The sequence below is a fragment of the Homo sapiens genome, chromosome 11, assembly GCF_000001405.40.
Source record: "Homo sapiens chromosome 11, GRCh38.p14 Primary Assembly".
NCBI classification, from domain to species: Eukaryota; Metazoa; Chordata; class Mammalia; order Primates; family Hominidae; genus Homo; species Homo sapiens.
The window spans coordinates 5324298-5343822 of record NC_000011.10 but is presented as its reverse complement, the minus strand read 5'-3'; the positions used below and the strand labels follow the sequence as shown (position 1 = coordinate 5343822).

At 37.7% G+C, this 19525-nt stretch overlaps 1 protein-coding gene and 1 pseudogene across 3 annotated transcripts in view; both read left to right on the top strand.

The window, feature by feature from the left end:
* Nucleotides 1-3505, top strand: part of OR51B5 (olfactory receptor family 51 subfamily B member 5) — a 165335-nt gene extending 161830 nt beyond the window's left edge. Inside the window, exon 5 of one of the 3 annotated variants that reach the window (NR_038321.2) lies at nt 2461-3505. Coding sequence is in view for 2 of the 3 variants with exons in the window: in NM_001005567.3 (NP_001005567.2) it covers nt 299-1237 (939 nt within the window). In the remaining variant the exon portion in view is untranslated. Of the gene's footprint in view, nt 1-193; nt 1310-2460 lie in introns of those variants that run through there. The other 2 variants (NM_001005567.3, NM_001395252.1) reach the window with 2 other exon arrangements.
* OR51B8P (olfactory receptor family 51 subfamily B member 8 pseudogene) lies at nt 12478-13235 on the top strand (annotated as a pseudogene).

Sequence of the window (19525 nt, the reverse complement as noted above, 5' to 3'; positions counted from 1 at the left end):
AGTTGTAGTTTACATAATTTTTTTTCTGAAGAGAATGCTTAAATGCATATAAACAGTTGAAACTCCAAGAATTTGATTACGTAGGTAGGAGATAGATCCTGGAATGTGCAGTTAAGAATACAAATAGTATGAGTAACCCTGAGAATGTATTTTGAGAAACAATCACTTATATTGATGTCATTATTATCTTTAGGAAAAAATTCTGAGAATGATATAGTCGAAGTGATACCTTGAAGGTAGAACTGTGCACTGTGGTAATAACAGAAACAGAAAGACATTTCTTCTATATAAACCCAGGATGTCGTCCAGCGGCAGCTCCCATCCCTTCCTATTGACTGGTTTTCCAGGCTTGGAGGAAGCTCATCACTGGATTTCCGTATTTTTCTTGTTCATGTATATATCCATCCTTTTTGGCAATGGCACCCTCCTTCTTCTCATTAAGGAAGATCACAATCTTCATGAGCCCATGTACTTCTTTCTGGCCATGCTGGCTGCCACAGACCTGGGGCTGGCCCTGACCACAATGCCCACGGTGCTGGGAGTCCTCTGGCTGGATCACAGGGAGATTGGAAGTGCGGCCTGCTTTTCCCAGGCCTACTTTATACACTCACTTTCCTTTCTCGAGTCTGGCATTCTGCTTGCCATGGCCTATGACCGTTTTATTGCCATCTGCAACCCTCTTAGATATACCTCTGTACTTACTAATACTCGAGTAGTGAAGATTGGGCTGGGAGTTCTGATGAGGGGATTTGTATCCGTTGTTCCCCCAATCAGGCCCCTCTATTTTTTTCTGTATTGTCACTCCCATGTTCTTTCACATGCATTCTGCCTTCACCAGGATGTCATTAAACTCGCCTGTGCTGATACCACCTTCAACCGACTGTACCCAGCTGTGCTTGTAGTCTTTATATTTGTGCTGGATTATCTGATTATCTTCATCTCCTATGTGTTGATACTCAAGACTGTCCTGAGCATTGCCTCCAGAGAGGAGAGGGCCAAGGCTCTCATTACCTGTGTCTCCCATATCTGCTGTGTCCTGGTTTTTTATGTCACAGTGATTGGATTGTCTCTGATTCATCGTTTTGGAAAGCAGGTTCCACATATTGTTCACCTCATTATGAGCTATGCCTATTTTCTGTTCCCTCCACTAATGAATCCTATAACATATAGTGTCAAGACCAAGCAGATTCAGAATGCCATTCTTCACCTTTTTACTACCCATAGAATTGGAACCTGATCTCCAATCATCACAGTCACTCTCACAGAATGTAAAAACTCTAATATTTAGCAGGAGAGCAAAGAAGTCTCATATCTAGCATGCATGCTCATATGACTTGGTAAAATAGGTGTTAAAATACAGCTTCAAGTTTCCCTAAGGTATCTCTTTAAGCCCAACTCTTTAGCTAAATGTAGTTTGTACAAATTTTTGTTGCATTCCTGTAAACGGAATATTTCTCTAAGCTTTCCACTAAATTATTGTGATAACAATACCTTAGGCATCTATTGGTATGTCTATAATGTAACTAACATATGTTTATTTCATGGTATAAAGTTAGCAGATAGGAACAGAATCATAAAAATATAAAATTATTAGTTGGTTCGAGTGAAATGGAATAGAGTTTGGTTTACTATGTCAAATCTAATTTCCAACTCTTATGAATTTCTCTGCAGGTGTCCATACAAACAATGGGAACCTATAAATTTGGTCACTGAAGTCCAGGAATTTTCCTGCAAAAAAGAATATAATCTTCTTTGATCAGTGACCTAATTACTTATCATCTCAACAGTCTAGTTGGTTCCTCCTCCCTCCATCAAATTATAATGAATTTGTCTCAAAAACCATAAACTCATATTTATTCCCCAAGGCAGTACCTTCTGACAAACTTGTAACAAAAAAATGTGAGAAGAGGAATCACGGATAAATGAGAGGACGTAGACACAGTCAGTACCTCCTTCTATCTTGCTCTCATTCTTATTCTACTACCCTAGTTGCTAGCTCCAATGTTGAGGCCATCCTCAGATATCTACGCTGGCTGACTAGTCCAAATTAGTGGAAGAGACAGTTCCTTCACCCTCCTTTTGCTATGAAAAAGGTCTGAAGGAACAAAAAAAAATAGGTTTCTGCATTTTTTTGAAGAATGATTGCTTTCTGTACATACATTCTGATTCCATGTAATAAGTGTAAATTTCCCAAAGAATACAACAATGTCATTCTCATTTGATTAAAATTGTCTGATGAGTTAGGAAGGGACCCATAACTCAATTTAAAATATCCTAAAAAGAGGGAGGTTATGTCTTAATTATACTTTAATCAGAGCAAAAATAATACTTCAGTGAGACAAGAGAGGGGACTATATAGAAGATATTGTTTATGTCTTTGGTGTTTTACCCCGATCATTTTACAGAATTGTGCACCTGTGAATGTTGGCTGCTCATTGTTCATGTTTCTGCTTTCTGCAGGTTGTTGTTCTCAACTCAGCAGGAAATGTCTTATGAAGAAAATGGCCCCTGCTCCTTAGGTAGCAGGCCATAGGCAAATACTGACCCTCTTGCCTTCTGAAGCTAAGCTCCAGCTTCAGTATGCACTTGCTTACCTCCTTCCCCTGTCCACACTGCTTTTACTTGCTCCCTGTCTCCTGAGAGCATTCATTAATAAATTGCACACATTTGAATCCCTATCTCAGGTATTGCTCATAGAGAGTCCAACTTAAGAAAAACTGCAATCCTTATTTATATTCTGTTTCATTAAGAGATGTAATTGTGAAAGAACTGAACATATAAAAAAATCAGCTTTATCATGTTTTTTATCCTTGTCACGCCATGTCACCTGAGCAACACAGTCTGAATACTAAATTGTGAGTGTGAGTGCATATATGTGATGGTAGGTTTTTGTCCTGTTTTCAATCATTCATAAAACCAAACATGTGTCCCTTAATTATGCTCTACTACATCCACAACTTATTTTATTCATAAAAATATTGTGGGGTAGATATTATCACTGTTTTCTTGATGGGGAAATTTAATATAAAAAAGTTAAATATTCCCTCCAAGGGCATAACATTTTTAATTGGTATAGTCATGATTCAAATTTATATCTTCTAACTATAAGGCCAGTGTGAATGGTACTCCACTACAGTAGACTATCCTTAGTGGCTTCTACTTTTTGCCTTGTATTCCGTCATGCTTGTAGTACCTACTTTCTTTTTCTGAAAATTTCTCCTCCTTCTACTCCAAAAATATTGTTCCCTATGAAAACTGATATTTTGCATTGTATCTCCAAACTCCTAACCGCAGTAGAAGAACTTTTTTAAAAAGAATTTTTCAATATGACATTGCAAAAAAAAAAAGAGTAATGCTTTTGTTGTAGAATTACTAAAATGCAATGCTTAGAATTGTTAATGACAATGTTTTTCATCAGGCAAGTGACTTCAAACTATAATAAATATTTAGAGTAAATTATAGATAAAGAAATGATAATAAATAAAAAGAATCTTCAAATCTCTGATTCCATGTTTTCCTGAGACTCAGTGACAAGGAGGACAGTTTGAATCTTTTTTTTGATTCCACAGCCTAATAAACTCCTCTTCTTGTAATTTGTTTTGTTCAGCCTAGTTTCAGTTGAGTTTCACTTATAACCAAAGGCTATTAATAATTATATCATCTCAGTTATAGATATGTGAATCTTCTCTAACTAATATTTAAAACTGGAAAATACTGTTAGGTAGAAGAGCTGCCTCTTTTTCTAAAATACAGGAAATGGAACCTAAAAATGGCAGGAAAGTTGACCATTTGGTGAATGATTTATGAAGTTATTTCCCTTGTTTAAGAAGTTCATTTCTGACTTGAAAGTAAGTGTGAAACTAAATTCACTGAGAAGATGCTGTAGGATGAATACAGACACAGGACATCGGAGGTGGGGGGAAGACTAAATAATTATCTCAAACTTAGTTATACAGAAGGCTACATGGTGGAAATCCACTCAGACATGTTTTTCTATTCAAAACCCATTGTAACAATCAACATAAACACAGTATGTTAGTATTATCATAAAATTTAGAACTTTCTGTGATCTCCTACAAGTCTTCCTGTGGTAAAATGCTATGTACTATTAGAAGCCTTAGCAAATTAATACAGGAACAGAAAACCAAATACCACGTGTTCTCACTTATGAGTGGGAGCTAAATGATGAGAACACATGGACACATGGAGGGGAACATCACACACTGGGGCCTATTGGAGGATGGAGGGTGAAAGGAGGGAGAGGATCAGGAAAAGTAACAAAAGGGTACTAGGCTTAATACCTGAGTGAGTGATGACATAATCTGTACAACAAACCCTCGTGACACAAGTTTAAATATGTAACAGACCTGCTCTTGTACTCCTGAACCTAAAATAAAAGTTAGTTAGGAAAAGAAGCCTATTTATAACACTATCTCCTAGGAAACACTGCACATGAATTTGTATTCATAAGAAGAGTAGAATTCAGAGTGGTCCAGTGGACTAACAAACTGGTGAACCACCTTCTTACAGCAGGTGAAGCCTGTAATTCAGCTTTTCATCATTCAAGACTGAAAGAAGAATATAACTTATATAGAGAAGGACCTCATGAGGAATAAATTTCATGGTGCCTATTAAGATAAATAAGTACCATGTAGTTATGGGAAATCTAAGGTGTAAAAGAATATACATTAAAAAAAGCCCTTGCCAAATACCATCCTTTCTTTTTCAAATAATAATATACTTGTGTAGTATGGGCTTGAAGGGATAACATACCATAAGAATATTTAATTTGAGTCAGGAAATGAAAGGCTAAGTGTGCATTTCTGTAGACTAAGCCAATCTTAGAAATGATTAAGAAGACGTGGAAGAATCTTAGAGACACACTGAAAAAATATGTATGGTCTAATGAGTTTACAGATCACTTTTCCTCCCATATAAAATGAATTTATACTAGATAAGGGGAAGATGAACTTTATTCCTCTCATTAACAAATAATTGCTGGGTTCCTTCACCAGAGATGCAGATTTTTATAGGGTAAATGAAAGGTGATATATTTAAAGATACTTACTAGATTATATGAGTATTAAATTGGGCAGCAAGGATGATTAGAAATGATTAAGGACCCAGAGGTCTCCATGTCCAATTAAAGAATGTAAATCTGTTTTTGATTTTATAGCCTAAATCCTTAGACACAGTCATTGTTATTAATAAACTCATAGACAAAATTTATTTTATGGGAAATTTAGGAGTTTATGTCCCTAGATTTCAAGTACATGCCACCAAACTGACAGATGACAGTGATTAGTCACAAAGTGCCTCAAAAATAGATGGCCCTATGTTAGTCATGGTTCTCCAGAAAAATAGAATCAACAGGATTTACCCAACTTCAAATTATACTACAAGGTGACAGTAACTAACTGAAACAGCATGGTACTGATACCAAACAGACACACTGACTAATGGAACAGAATGGAGAACTCAGAAGTAAGACCGCGCATCTGAAACAATCTGATCTTCAACAAACCTGGTAAAAACAAGTAATGGGGAAGGGATTCCCTATTTTATAAATTGTGCTGGGAGAACTGGCTAGCCATATGCAGAAAATTGAAACTGGACCCCTTCCTTACATCTTATACATAAATTAACTCAAGATGCATTAAAGACTTAAGTGTAAAACCCAAAACTATAAAAACTTTAGAAGAAAACCTAGGCAATACCATTCCGGACATAGACACAGGCAAAGATTTCATGATGAAAATGTCAAAAACAATTGCAACAAAAGCAAACACTGTCAAATGAGATCTAATTAAACTAAAGAGATCGGGCATGGTGGCTCACGCCTGTAATCCCAGCACTTTGGGAGGCCAAGGTGGGTGGATCACTTGAGGTGGGGAGTATAAGAGCAGCCTGGCCAACATGGTGAAACTCCATCTCTACTAAAAATACAAAAAATGTGCTGGGTATGGTGGTGCGTACCTGTAATCTCAGCTACTCAGGAGGCTGAGGCAGGAGAATTGCTTGAACCCAGGAGGCAGAGGTTGCAGTGAGCTGAGATCGCACCACTGCACTCTAGCATGGGTGAAAGAGTGAGACTTCATCTCAAAATAAAGAAAAATACAATTAAATACAGAGCTTCTAAACAGCAAAATAAACTATCATCAGAGCGAACAGGCAACCTACAGAATGGGAGAAAATTTCTGCAATCTACCCATCTGACAAAGGTCTAATATCCAGAATCTATGAGGAACTTAGACATATTTACAAAAGAAACACACAAACAACCCCATTAAAAAGTGGGCAAAGGACATGAACAGACACTTCTCAAAAGAAGACATTTATGTGGCTAAGAAACATACGAAAAAAGTCTCAATGTCACTGATCATTAGAGAAATGCAAATCAAAACCACAATGAAATACCATCTGACACCAGTCAGAATGGTGGTTTTTAAAGTCAAGAAACAACAGATGCTAGCAAGGTTGCAGAGAAATAGGAACACTTTTACACTGTTGGTGGGACTGTAAACTAATTCAACCATTGTGGAAGACAGTGTGGCAATTCCTCAAAGATTTAGAACCAGAAATACCATTTGACCTCACAATCCCATTACTGGGTATATACCTAAAGGAGTATAAATCATTCTATTACTAAGATACATGCACATGTATGTTCATTGTAGCACTATTCACAATAGCAAAGACATAGAATCAACCCAAATGGCCATCAATGATAGACAATTTAAAAAATGTGGTACATATAAACCATGAAATACTATCTAACCATAAAAAGGGATGAGATCATGCCCTTTGCTGGGACATGGATGGAGCCGAAAGCCATTATCTTCAGTAAACTAATGCAGGAACAGAAAACCAAACACCACATGTTCTCACTTAGAAGTGGGAGCTGAACAATGAGAATGAGAACACATGGAAACAGTGAGGGGAAGAACACACACTGGAGCCTGTCAGGGCATGGGGTGTGGTGAAGGGGAGCATTAGAAAAAATAGCTAATGCATGCTGGGCTTAACACCTAGGTGATGGGTTGATAGGTACAGCAAACCACCATTGCACACATTTACGTATGTAATAAACCTGCACATCCTGCACATGTACCTCAGAACTTAAAAATTAAAAAAATTGAATGTACATAAAAATATGGAAATTAATAAATGTAATTCACTGCATTAAAAAAAAATAATGGCAAAAACTGCAATTACTGTTGCACCAACCTAATATAAGGAAATAGCAGATGTGATTATGGAGGAAGGCAAGTCCCAAGATATGCAGAGTGAGTCATCAAGTTGAAAACTCAAGAGAGCCTGGTAGTTTAGTCCCAGTCCAAGTCTGAAGGCCTGGGAAACAGGAGGATTGATGGTGTACTTGCAACCCAAAAGCCATCAGGCTTCAGACCCAGGAAGTTTTGATGTTTCAGTTCAATCTAAAGGCAGAAAAAAAGGTCTAGATTCCAGTTTGAAGGCCATCAATAAGGAATAATTCTCTCTGATTTGGGGAAGGGTCAGACTTTTTGTTCTATTCAGGTTTTCAACTGATTGGAGGAAGCCGCCTGCAATAGGAAGGACCATCTGCTCTACTTGGTCTACCGATTTAAATGTTAATCTTGCCTAAAAACACCCTCACAAAAACATCTAGAATAATGTTTGACAAATATTTGGGCACCCCATGGCCCAGTCAAATTGGCATATAAAATTAACCATCAGAGCCTGTAGAGGATGAGTTAAAGGATGGAATCTTCGGAGATAATTGTGGAATCCAGAAGGCTGACAGATAATAGAATCAAACTACACAGAAAAAAAAAAAAAAGAAGCTGGTATTGTCAGCACAGACTTACTCAACAAACAGCAAAAATCCTAGGATAGAGACCTTCCTGAATCGTTAGCGATATAAGCTTATTATACTTGAATGTTGCCTTCCTATATGCCATATGTAATATAAGGCAGCAGTTAGATATAGACTGTGATGCCAGAGCTCAGACCAAGAGCCAAGGAATAGGAAGACCAGAAAAATATTTTCATTTTAAAAAGTTAGGTAATTTCTAATAATGTGGCTGCCTGAGTATTTTCAGCACAGATATTCTAATAAATATTGTGTTATGTGATTTAGAAAGAGACAGGCACTCAGCGGATGACCCTTGTCAGGAAACACTGCATCAAAGAAGGCTTTTATTACAGGAGATGGAGGTCCTTCCCAATCTGAGATTATGCTGCTGTGACATGATACTTTACTTCACAGGCAATACAGCAGGAAATATGAAAAGAATGAACAAGGTCTTAGAAAATACATGAATGAGAGACACATCAATGGCTATTTAAGGAAATAGAAGATATTTTGGGTGCCCTGCCTACTTCCTCCCAGTGCCCCTAAGCTTGGTGACTTTGAGTGTTGGCTGATAATAGTTGTTCCCATTCTCTGGAGGCTTATCCTCCACCAACAGTGTCACTTCACATGAGATTTTATCCCAACTCTGGGGCAGTCTGCAGGAAATTACTTTATATCTGTTCTAAGATAAGTGATGTTTCCAGGAATAGAGTCATATTTATGGGGCAGAAGATTCGTGTACTGCCAGTGAGAGGGTCAATATACCTACTAATGAAATGGGAGGGCAGCCTGAAATTAAATCAGTTATCTCAGGGTCTTACTACCTCACCTCATTTTAAGTTCAAAGCATGGCTCCCCTAAATCAATCCAGACCTAAATTTTAACTTAGTACAAAGAGGACACACAAATTTTCAGACTTAAGCCATTTCCAGAGACTGACTTTTAATCATGATTTCCTACTACTATTCTGCTTACATTTAGGAAGACCTATGAGCAGAATGCAGTTCAGGAGGAACTTAACTGATGTGAAATGTCAGGCACCAAAATGTGACCCTCATGGTTCACCACATTGCACCCATACTCATTTTAAAATCTCATAGTTGGGCTAAGTTCCAGGATAAATTTAGGATTTAAGACTGATGAGACAATAGAAATTCTCAGATCCTTATTTCTCTGACAGACTATGAGATGATTGTATTCAAGTACAAATTGTCAGACAAAGCCAGGGATTAAAGAATACCTCCACCATGTCCCCTTTTTAACATTACTACAGGACACTTAAATAAAATTTTTTAAACTTGATTTATATTGCTCCAGAAGCAGTAACTCTGATTCTTGGGCAAGACTTACCAAGAGACAGAAAACAAGCTTACTGTTTGAAAGAACTTATCAGCAGCACTCATTTGTGAGTATATATAACAAACAATCTTATTTGAAACCAAGAAAAGATTAAGTGTGAGGGATTATTAAGCTTTGTCTAAGTTGAGTGAGCTTATTGGCTACAGGGTTAAGGAATAACAAAAGTAGGCTTCACGGTATCTTCTTTTTGAGGTGGGGAATCATACAAGGCAAAGGTAGTTAGATAGCATGACTTCCATGTGCTGGATGAAGCTACAATTCTGTTTTCTTTTTGCAAAGAAAATATGGGGCTTTAAGAACACAGTTCTGGAGCCCACTTCCTTCTCCAAAGGAGGCTTGAAAAAAAATATCCCAGTAGCCTAATTATCCAGCATCAAGACAGATACTGGGGAACAATTTTGAATACAAATAACCTCACAAATTAACCCTGTTAGCAGTCTTCAGAGATACCATTTAAACCAATTTCTACACCAGGACTCAGCAATTACCTCTCCCCTTAATTTCTGATACCCCAGGTCAGGCTCTAGTGACTATGGGAGAATGGAATGAAGGTAATTGAGAGGAAAATAAAGACTAATCTTCTTGGATTCTCTTCCACCACATAGTTGTTGCAAGAGGGTAAATAGAGAAAAGAGGCAAGATATCTGTATCTACAGATTCTGCCGGGTGTATCAACCTCCAACATAAAAGTTCAACTTCCTAGCAAATGTTAACTCTGAAATAAAAACAGTAGTTTTATGTGATGGGTGCTTACATGAATAATTAAGAGTTCTGAGTTGATATCTAGAAGTTCTTGTTAGCTCAGCGCTATTAAGAACACTTTTCCTACAATAGAAATTTTCTTTGGAAGAGGCAGGAGAGGAAAGAGACTGACTCTGGGAGTGAATGTGCAGGGTGGGGTCACCATGACACCTGTAGGTCTCTATACTACCTCTCCTCCTCCTCTTGATGCAGTTCTCTAGGCTCAGTTTTCTCTATCTTACATCCACCTATGTTCCCTTTCTGCCTTCTTCCTCCTCTACTTTGTAGCTCCCACATTTTCAGCTTATATATTAGCCAATTAGTATATTAGTAATATTTTGAAGTCACTGTTCTTACCTAAGTCAGTTTAACAATCAGCATACCAGTCAGTTAGTGATCAATGTGTTAATCATAAAGTAATTAAAATTTTATAAATAACCTTACAATCAATATGTCAAACTCTGTCATTGCTTCCAGGGCCATTGGTGTGTTAATACAACACTTAGTAAAGTAAGCAATGTTAGTGTTGGAGTGGGAGTAGAACCGTGTTTTTTACTACAATGAGTTAGAGCCACTAGGTCTGAGAGACTAGTAAAAGAATGTAAACAGTAAAAATTTTGTGCTAAGTTTTATGCTAAAGTCTGGGTGATGCAAAAGAGACATCTGGGGTTTAGTTAGAGAGGGCAAAATAAGAGACAATATAGAAATAGATACAACAAAAGGGTGATGGATATAGGAAGAACGACACAGGAAAACAATAGGATAGGGATGACGTACAGCTGCACCCTATGTACCTGAGCAGATGGTGCAGAAATGATCAGTGCTGCCCAGCCAAGCCCAGCCTAAATAAGTTGAACCATGCATTAGAGTGAAAAATAAATGTTTAATGTTGTCAGCCACTGATGCTATACAGGGCTTTGTGATGTGACAATTCTGTGATAATAGATAAATGATACAATAATTTACATAAACCCTGTAAATATTAGTTTATTATAGAACTCTATAAACTCTTAATAAAATATGGATAATAGTAATACTTTGCATTAGTTTTCTATTGTTATACATAAATTACTGCAACTTGAGCTGCTTCAAACATTATTAGTTTATTATATCACATTTCTATAGGTCTGCACTCTCATAGGCTTAACTGAGTTCTCTGCTTAGGGTATCATAAGGTCAAATTCAAAATATCGGGAGGGCTGGGCTCTTATCCAAAGGCTCTGGGGAAGAATTCGCTTCCACGTTCATTCAGATTGTAGTCAGAGCTCAGTTTCTTTTTTTTTCTTTTTTTTTTTTTTTTTTTTGAGATGGAGTCTCGCTCTGTCACCCAGCCTGGAGTGCAGTGGCACAATCTCTTGCTCCCTGCAACCTGTGCCTCCCGGGTTCAAGCAATTCTCCTGCCTCAGTTTCCCAAGTAGCTGGAACTACAGGCAACTGCAACCACACCTGGCTAATTTTTATATTTTTTGGTAGGGATGGAATTTCACCATGTTGGCCAGGCTGGTCTGGAACTCCTGACCTCAGGTGATCCGCCCGCCTTGGCCTCCCAAAGTGCTGGGATTACAGGCTTGAATGAGCCATTGCACCCGGCTGTCAGAGTTCAGTTTCCTACTGCTGAACTCTGAAGTCCCTGTTTGTTTTTGTTTTTGTTTTTTGTTTGTTTGTTTGCAGGCTGTTAGCTAGGATGCCCGTTCTGTACCTAGGGGCTTCTTGCATTCCTTCTTTTGTGACCTCCTTATATTTCAAACCAGCAACTGACCCATGAACCTTTCTCAAATTTTGAATATGTCTGGCTTCCTATTCTCCTACTACTTGGTGAAAACTCTGCTTTTAGGGGCTCATGGAATTAGACTAGGTTCCCCTGAGTAATTTCCTTTTCAATTAACTCAAAGTCAATAGATCAGCAACTTTAATTACATCTGTATAACCCCAAGCATGATATTGTATCATATTCACAGTCCTAGAAATTAGGATAGGAAATCTTGTGGTAGAAAGGTTTTTAAAATTATGCCTATCACACCATTTAAAAAATAGCTAGTGAGAGAGGAGACTTTCTTTTCCAATATATGTGTTAGTTTTAAAGTATGTGTGAAATAATTTTTATTCTTAACATTTTTTTGATGAAGCACAATGTCTGAAAGGGTGGTAGAAAGCAGCTGGAGTCGAAACTGAGGATGAAGTCGTATAGTCTAGAGCTGTGCTGTCCAAAACAGTAGCATCTGGTTAGCTTGAGTCAGAATTTTCTGTAAGTGTAAACACTCGATTTTGAAGAATTTGTACCAAAAAAAAATCGTGGGAACTATCTCATATATGATTTTTATGCTGATTATCTATTAAAATGATAATATTTTTGATATAGTAGCTTAAATAAGACATACTAATATTAATTTTACCACTTTTCTTTTTACTCCTTTTAATGTGACTACCAGAACATTTAACATCACATATTTAGCTCTAATTATATTTCCACCACATAGTGCTGGTCTAGAGAGCTGTTTTGTTTGTTTGTTTCTCCTCAGGTATCCACCATGTCACCCACCATTACTGCTGCCCCTTTTCTCCTCACTGGCTTTCCAGGTCTGGAGAGATTTCATCCTTGGAGTTCTATCTCCTTCTTTATCATCTATGTCTCTACAGTCCTTGGCAATGGCAGCCTCCTCCTCTTTATCAGAGAAGACTGCACTCTTCATGAGCCCGTGTACTACTCTCTGACTATACTGGCAGCCATAGACCTTGGTGTAACTTTGACAACAATGTCCACTGTCCTTGGTGTTCTCTGGCTAGATCACAGGAAAATGAGCCATGGAGCCTGCTTCCTCCAGGCCTATCTAATCCACTCCCTCTCTATCGTGGAGTCCAGAGTGTTGCTCATCATGGCCCATGACTGTTTTATTGGCATCCATAATCCCCTGAGATACACCTCCATTCTCACCAATGCTAAGGTGGTGAAGATAGATCTGGGGGTTCAAATGAGGGGATTTGTTATGCTAATTGTGCCCATAATCATCACCCTCTCTGGATTCCCCTACTGTCAATCCCATGTCCTCTCCCATGCTTTCTGCCTGCACCAGATGTGATCAAACTGGCCTGTGCAGACATCACCTTTAATAGACTTTATCCTATAGTCCTGGTCTCATCAACTGGTTTCTTGGACTTTGTGCTTATCCTTATCTCTTACATTCTGATCCTTAAGAAGGTCATGGGAATTGCCTCAGACAAGGAGCAGACTAAGGCCCTAAATACTTGTATTTCTCACATTAGCTGTGTTCTGGTTTTTAATGTCACTTGATTGGGCTACCACCCTTTCAGACACTGTGCTTCATCAAAAAAATGTTAAGAATAAAAATTATTTCACACATACTTTAAAACTAACACGTCACAATGCAAATCAAAACCACAAAGAGATACCATCTCACACCAGTTAGAATGGCAATCATTAAAAAGTCAGGGAACAACAGGTGCTGGAGAGGATGTGGAGAAATAGGAACACTTTTACACTCTTGGTGGGACTGTAAACTAGTTCAACCATTGTGGAAGTCAGTGTGGCGATTCCTCAGGGATCTAGAACTAGAAATACCATTTGACCCAGCCATCCCATTACTGGGTATATACCCAACGGATTATAAATCATGCTGCTATAAAGACACATGCACACGTATGTTTACTGTGGCACTATTCACAATAGCAAAGACTTGGAACCAACCCAAATGTCCAACAATGATAGACTGAATTAAGAAAATGTGGCACATATACACCATGGAATACTATGCAGCCATAAAAAATGAAGAGTTCATGTCATTTGTAGGGACATGGATGAAACTGGAAACCATCATTCTCAGCAAACTATCGCAAGGACAAAAAACCAAGCACTGCATGTTCTCACTCATAGGTGGGAATTGAACAATGAGAACACATGGACACAGGAAGGGGAACAACACACTCCGGGGACTGTTGTGAGGTGGGGGGAAGGGGGAGAGAGAGCATTAGGAGATATACCTAATGCTAAGTGACAAGTTAATGGGTGCAGCACACCAACATGGCACATGTATACATATGTAACAAACCTGCACATTGTGCACATGTACCCTAAAACTTAAAGTATAATAATAATAATAATAAAAATACATTATTTTGGATTAACAAAAACCAACAGGCTACCACAGATTCTCTTTGTGTTCAATTTTCTCACATGTTTTGTTATTCTGGCTCTGCTAGAATTCTCTTGATTTGAGTTTGTCATATTTTCTCTTTCCCCATAGCCTGTGTATTTTTTCTTCCTTTATAAACTGTACCCCACTTATACAAACACTATATTTGTTACCTTCCTTGTTTTTCAATTATTAGCTTAAATAATATTTCTTTTGAGAAATTTTCCCCTGCCCCAAAGATGCTTTCTGTGGGCTCCCTTTAGCATGCTACCATCTATGCAGTAATGATAGTGCTATGAAAATTTGTGGTAACTATTTTCTTTATATTACACACTATTTACATTCTGTGAATAAAGACTATGCTCCTCATTGTGTATCTGGCAAAAAAAAAAAAAAAGGGCAATGAGCTACAAGTAATATAATTTTAAGATAAAAAGCTGAATGTCAGCCGGGCGCAGTGACTCACACCTGCAATCCCAGCACTTTGGGAGGCCAAGGAGGGTGGATCACGAGGTCAAGAGATCGAGACCATCCTGGCCAATATGGTGAAACCCCGTGTCTACTAAAAATACAAAAATTAGCTGGGTGTGGTGACGCGCTACTGTAGTCCCAGCTTCTCAGGAGGCTGTGGCAGGAGAATCACTTGAACCTGGGAGGTGGAGTTTGCAGTGAGCTGAGATTGTGCTACTGCACTCCAGCCTGGCGACAGAGTGAGACTCTATCTAAAAAAAAAAAAAAAAAAAAAAAAAAAAGCTGAATGTCATGAATCTGCATGACTATTAACAGATCCATTGAAGTTCCAGTAGATAAGAACAAATTTTACCAAAGTAACAGGAAAGACAAAAACGCAATTGGAATTCATAAGCTCTAGGACCCGTAGAGGTACATATGATCCCTGAAGACAACCGATATCCCCTAACCCTTTCAAATAAACTAAGTTATGATGCTGAGCCTCCTTGGGTCACATAACCAAGCCCTGGTATCCCTATCTTACATCAGCTGGTTTTTGAATTTCAAATTTTCCTCACCCCATTCTTCAGGAAACACCTGAAAATCCCGAGGACATCAGTTGTGGGGCCCTGTTCCTCCCGAACAGAGAAGAGAGGGAAGGGAGATCAAGGGGTCTCCTGAGATGCTAGAAAGATGAAACTCAGGGGAGGTGATTTCCACATGCATAAGCTTTAAAATGAGGCCTCATGAGAGGTCTGTGAGTGAATGATCTGAACTGAGTCCTCAAAGAGGACAGGAATAGGTTCCTATTTTAGCCACAATACTGTGAGTGGGTGAGTGCCAGGAACTTGAATATGGAATGATTCCTCTCTCTTCTGATGTGAGATGCACTCAAGGAAAGCATATAAGAAGGTTTTCCAGAGGTCTGCCTAGAGGTAAAGATCACAGCTGAGGTGGGATATCCTACAGCACAGATTTTTTTTTTTCTTTTTTGAAAGAGTATTTAAGGAACTGTGATAGATTTAGGTTTTCTAATCTGGGACCCTTGGATTGGCATAAGTATAATTGTTAATGCTCAGAACTGCATGTGTCATTGTGCATTCTTACTCATTTTTCTATGTAGATGTTTATAGCTTTTTTTTCAGAGAATATTTCTTCATTCCAAAACAGCTTTGTTATCACTCACCTCCTTTGTTCAGTTATTGGTAAATATATTACATTTATATTTGTAATAGTTCCAGCAATGCAATTCTATTTTTTATTGTAATACATTCATTTTTGAAAATAAGAAGCAGAAAGGAATATGTATGCATAATGTCTTCTATAATGACATGACTATCTTTACTGGTGCTTTTGTCATTTTATGTAGATTCAAATGATCATCTTTGGTCATTTGGTTTCAACTTAGTTGAAATCAACTCAGTTTTTGTTTATCCAGAAAGGGCTTATTTTACGTTTATTTTTTATTGATAACTTTCCTGTTCAGAGGATTTTTTGTTGATAGTTTTTCTCTGAAGAGTAGACAAAAAATTCTGAATCGAGTTGAAAGGCTTAGAAAAGGGCAGCCAAATTAAGATCTAAGAAAGCAAATTGGATTGAAAATGAAATCATATTGATGGCAGATGATAATATATTGGACTGGGTTGGAGAAGGCAGGAGGAATTTAACTTGTGGACAATAGAAATCTGAGAGTTGGGTAGTCCCAACTGTCAGGCCCTCAGGACTGGGGCCAAATGGAGGACTCACTTTTTTGAAGATTAAAGACAATGCGTGAGAGCACGGAGTTCTGAACCTAAACAGGCTGAGCTTCTGCACTCTGCTAAGATCCTGAAATTTATAGAAAGAAAAGTCACCATTTTAACATATAACAATTTAATTTATAAGATCCAAACAACACCCCTTGAAACACACACATGCATGTGTGTCTGTGTGTTTGTTTGAAGAACTGCTCTAAGAGATGGCATGAGTAGTCAGTGGGACTCACTAGAAAAATTCTAGAGACAGGGCCCATCTCCTTAGGAAGGTGCGGGGACACATCTTCCATCCAACTCAGAAGGAGGGCAGAGTAGGAAATGAGAAGATGAGGGAAAGGAGGAATCATATTTTTTCCTCTTTCACTTGTTTATGTAGACTGTATAATAGATTCACTATTTACTACATTTTCTTGAGGCTAACAGATCTTTCCTGTCTGTTCCTTCTTCATACTACAAAGTTCCCTCTGTCTCCTTTACTCCCTTGTATCTGGTAACATTCAAATTATGTTCTCAAAGTGAGCATGACAACTTTTTTCCATGGACCTGTATGTATTTATGCATCTTGGTGAGAGTGTTGCTACAAGTATAGGAATCTTATTCATCTAGAAATATATCATCATGTGAAATTCAGGTCAATAGAACATCTAGAATGAAGCTAGAATGAAGCAGGGCTTAGATCTATGATTTTTCTCAAGTTTTCAGCATTATGGATCCTGTTGAGACATTCAAGGGCAATATTCTGCATAAAATTGAAGGGAGAATATTAAGCACTATTATAAACTCATAGGCCATATTGAGAGCTTCTTAAGAGCAGACTGTGCTTATTACATGGTTATTTAGAACTAAACACAGTGCAGTTGTGTGGCATGTGCTCACCAATTCTGTGCTGACTCAAAATAGTCATTTTCCAACTTGTCCCAGATGGTATTGGTGAATGGAGCTCCTACAGGTTGCTTATATCTTCATATATGATATATCAGTTCAAGGAAAAATCATCACACATCAAGTCAGGACCCCAGATCCTTAGGAAATCACTAAACATTTATGTTCTGAGTTGAGAGCTGCCTATCAATTTCACAGCCATAGCTGCTCCACCTTTATCCAGAAAAACTAGTTCTTGTGCTTCTAGTATAATTTTCTTAACACTTGTTAATAGCTAAGCCATCTGAATGGAATTTTGCCACATAGTGCAGCCTTGGGAGCATGCATACAGTATGGCTTCATCTCTGGTGACACTGCTTATAGTGGGCCTCAGTTTGATGACAGTATCTAGCTCTCCTAGAATCCCCACACGCCTGCCTCTGGGTAAATATCAACGGCTTCCCAGTGTTGGGCAGGCTTCTTTTGTGTTTCTTTTTATTCCCAAAATCTCAGACATGATTTACCTTTCATTTTCTTTGAGGTACCATAACCTTCCCTGTCTTACTTTTAATGACCCAAGCTTAGAGATGGAGGGAGATATGACTGTAAACATTTTTTTCTGCTCATAAATATAATAAAAAACTTTCTTTTTTGGTTTCAAGTGTTTTATGGCCAATTTCTCTAAAGACGTTATTGTTTTTTAAGGAAAAGCTCACAAACATTTTAAAAAGTACTTGTGCTCTGGAAATCTAGTTTGATCCTTACACAATTTTTTTTAAAGGAATCCCAGATTTTATGGCTTTCTTTTTAAAAATTTTTTATTTTTAAAATTTTTTAAAACTTTAATTAAAAAAAATTTTAATGTGACTTTCTTCTATGTTTACCCTTCAGAATATGTGTCACCAATTTGTCCTTTCTCTAATCTGCCATTCTCTTCCTCCTATACCTCATTCCGTACATCCTCTTATTCCTCAATCTGTGTTTTTAAGCATGAAGGATCTTTCGAAGGTAGAACAACATTTGTGTAATAATTATAATTCAGTCTTCTATATGAATTCAATGTGATTTAATTTTAGGGATTCCCTAGTGTTGGTGATTTCAATCTCAGTAAGTTAGTAATCCTGACTCACAGGAGCTGATACAGAGGTAGCATCAGAACATTTCCTTATACAATATGAAATGCTTTGTGATTTCTTCTGATTCTGATTTATTTTTGATACTGAGGCCATTTTATGAAGAAAACTGCTAGGTGCTAAAGACTTGCCTCCAGGATTCTGAATTTCTCGTTAAATAAGACTGCAGCAGAGCTGGTAATAAGCTTCTTCTTTCTCCCATACCCCTCTTGGATCGTGGCAACCAAGAAAACAGAAACAGTAGTGATGGCTGGCATCCTTAGGCTGTGGAAACATTATAATTTTACCTGTTACAGAACTGCAACAGTTCCTCAGGAGTTTGGAGTTGATGGAAAAGCAGAGAGAGGTAAGAAGGACAGAAAACCAGCTAAGTATTTAATTATGGGAAATAATGTTGGAAAGGGCAAGTGGCAGAAAGAAAGCCAGTAAATGGTGAAAGAAACATAAAAAAGATAATTGTATGAAGATATTTGGAGAAAATGAGAAAATCAACTGGATGGAAGCATTAAAAGGTTTCTATCTCGAAAGATGGATTAGGTATGAAATGCTTATAGCAGTGATGCCCAGACATTGTTTTGCACTGGAATCACCTGAGGACCTGAAAAAAGCGAATTTGATTCAGAATGTTGGAAGGGGCAGAATCTGAGGCTGCATGCCTAACAAGCCCGCTGCTTGTTAGCTGCGTCTAGTCTGTGATCCACAACTCTGGTGGCCAAGCTCAAGTAACTGTTAGAGTGACAAAGCCGTTCATTGGTAGTGATGGTGATGCACGCTATAGTGCATAAAACACTGACATTCAATTTCCAAAAAAAATGAGAAAAACTGCATTAACTGAAAAAACTGTCTTCATCATAATCGTGAAATGTAAAATTACAACAATCATTTCCAAATGGTCAGTAATCACAGCAAGAAGACAACTAAGCCAGATTATTATCCATTTATGTATATTTATGTTATGTGTTTTTGTTATCACTGTTGTTGCAAATATTTATAAGTACCCTCAAAATAGTTGCGGATAATATATTTAAAATTAATGAAAAATTTTTGAATTTGAGAAAAATCGAACCATTAACTCAGTATTTTTTCTAATTAGGGAAAAAACCATAGTCTGTACATGCTATTCTTCTTCAGGAAAATAGTTGCAGAGTCAAATTTATCACACCAGTTAATCATCTCCAAGCAGGAAGATTGGAGGCTCCTGGTTTCAAGGTTTCAAGAAATCTGATCTTTACCGGTGGATACACT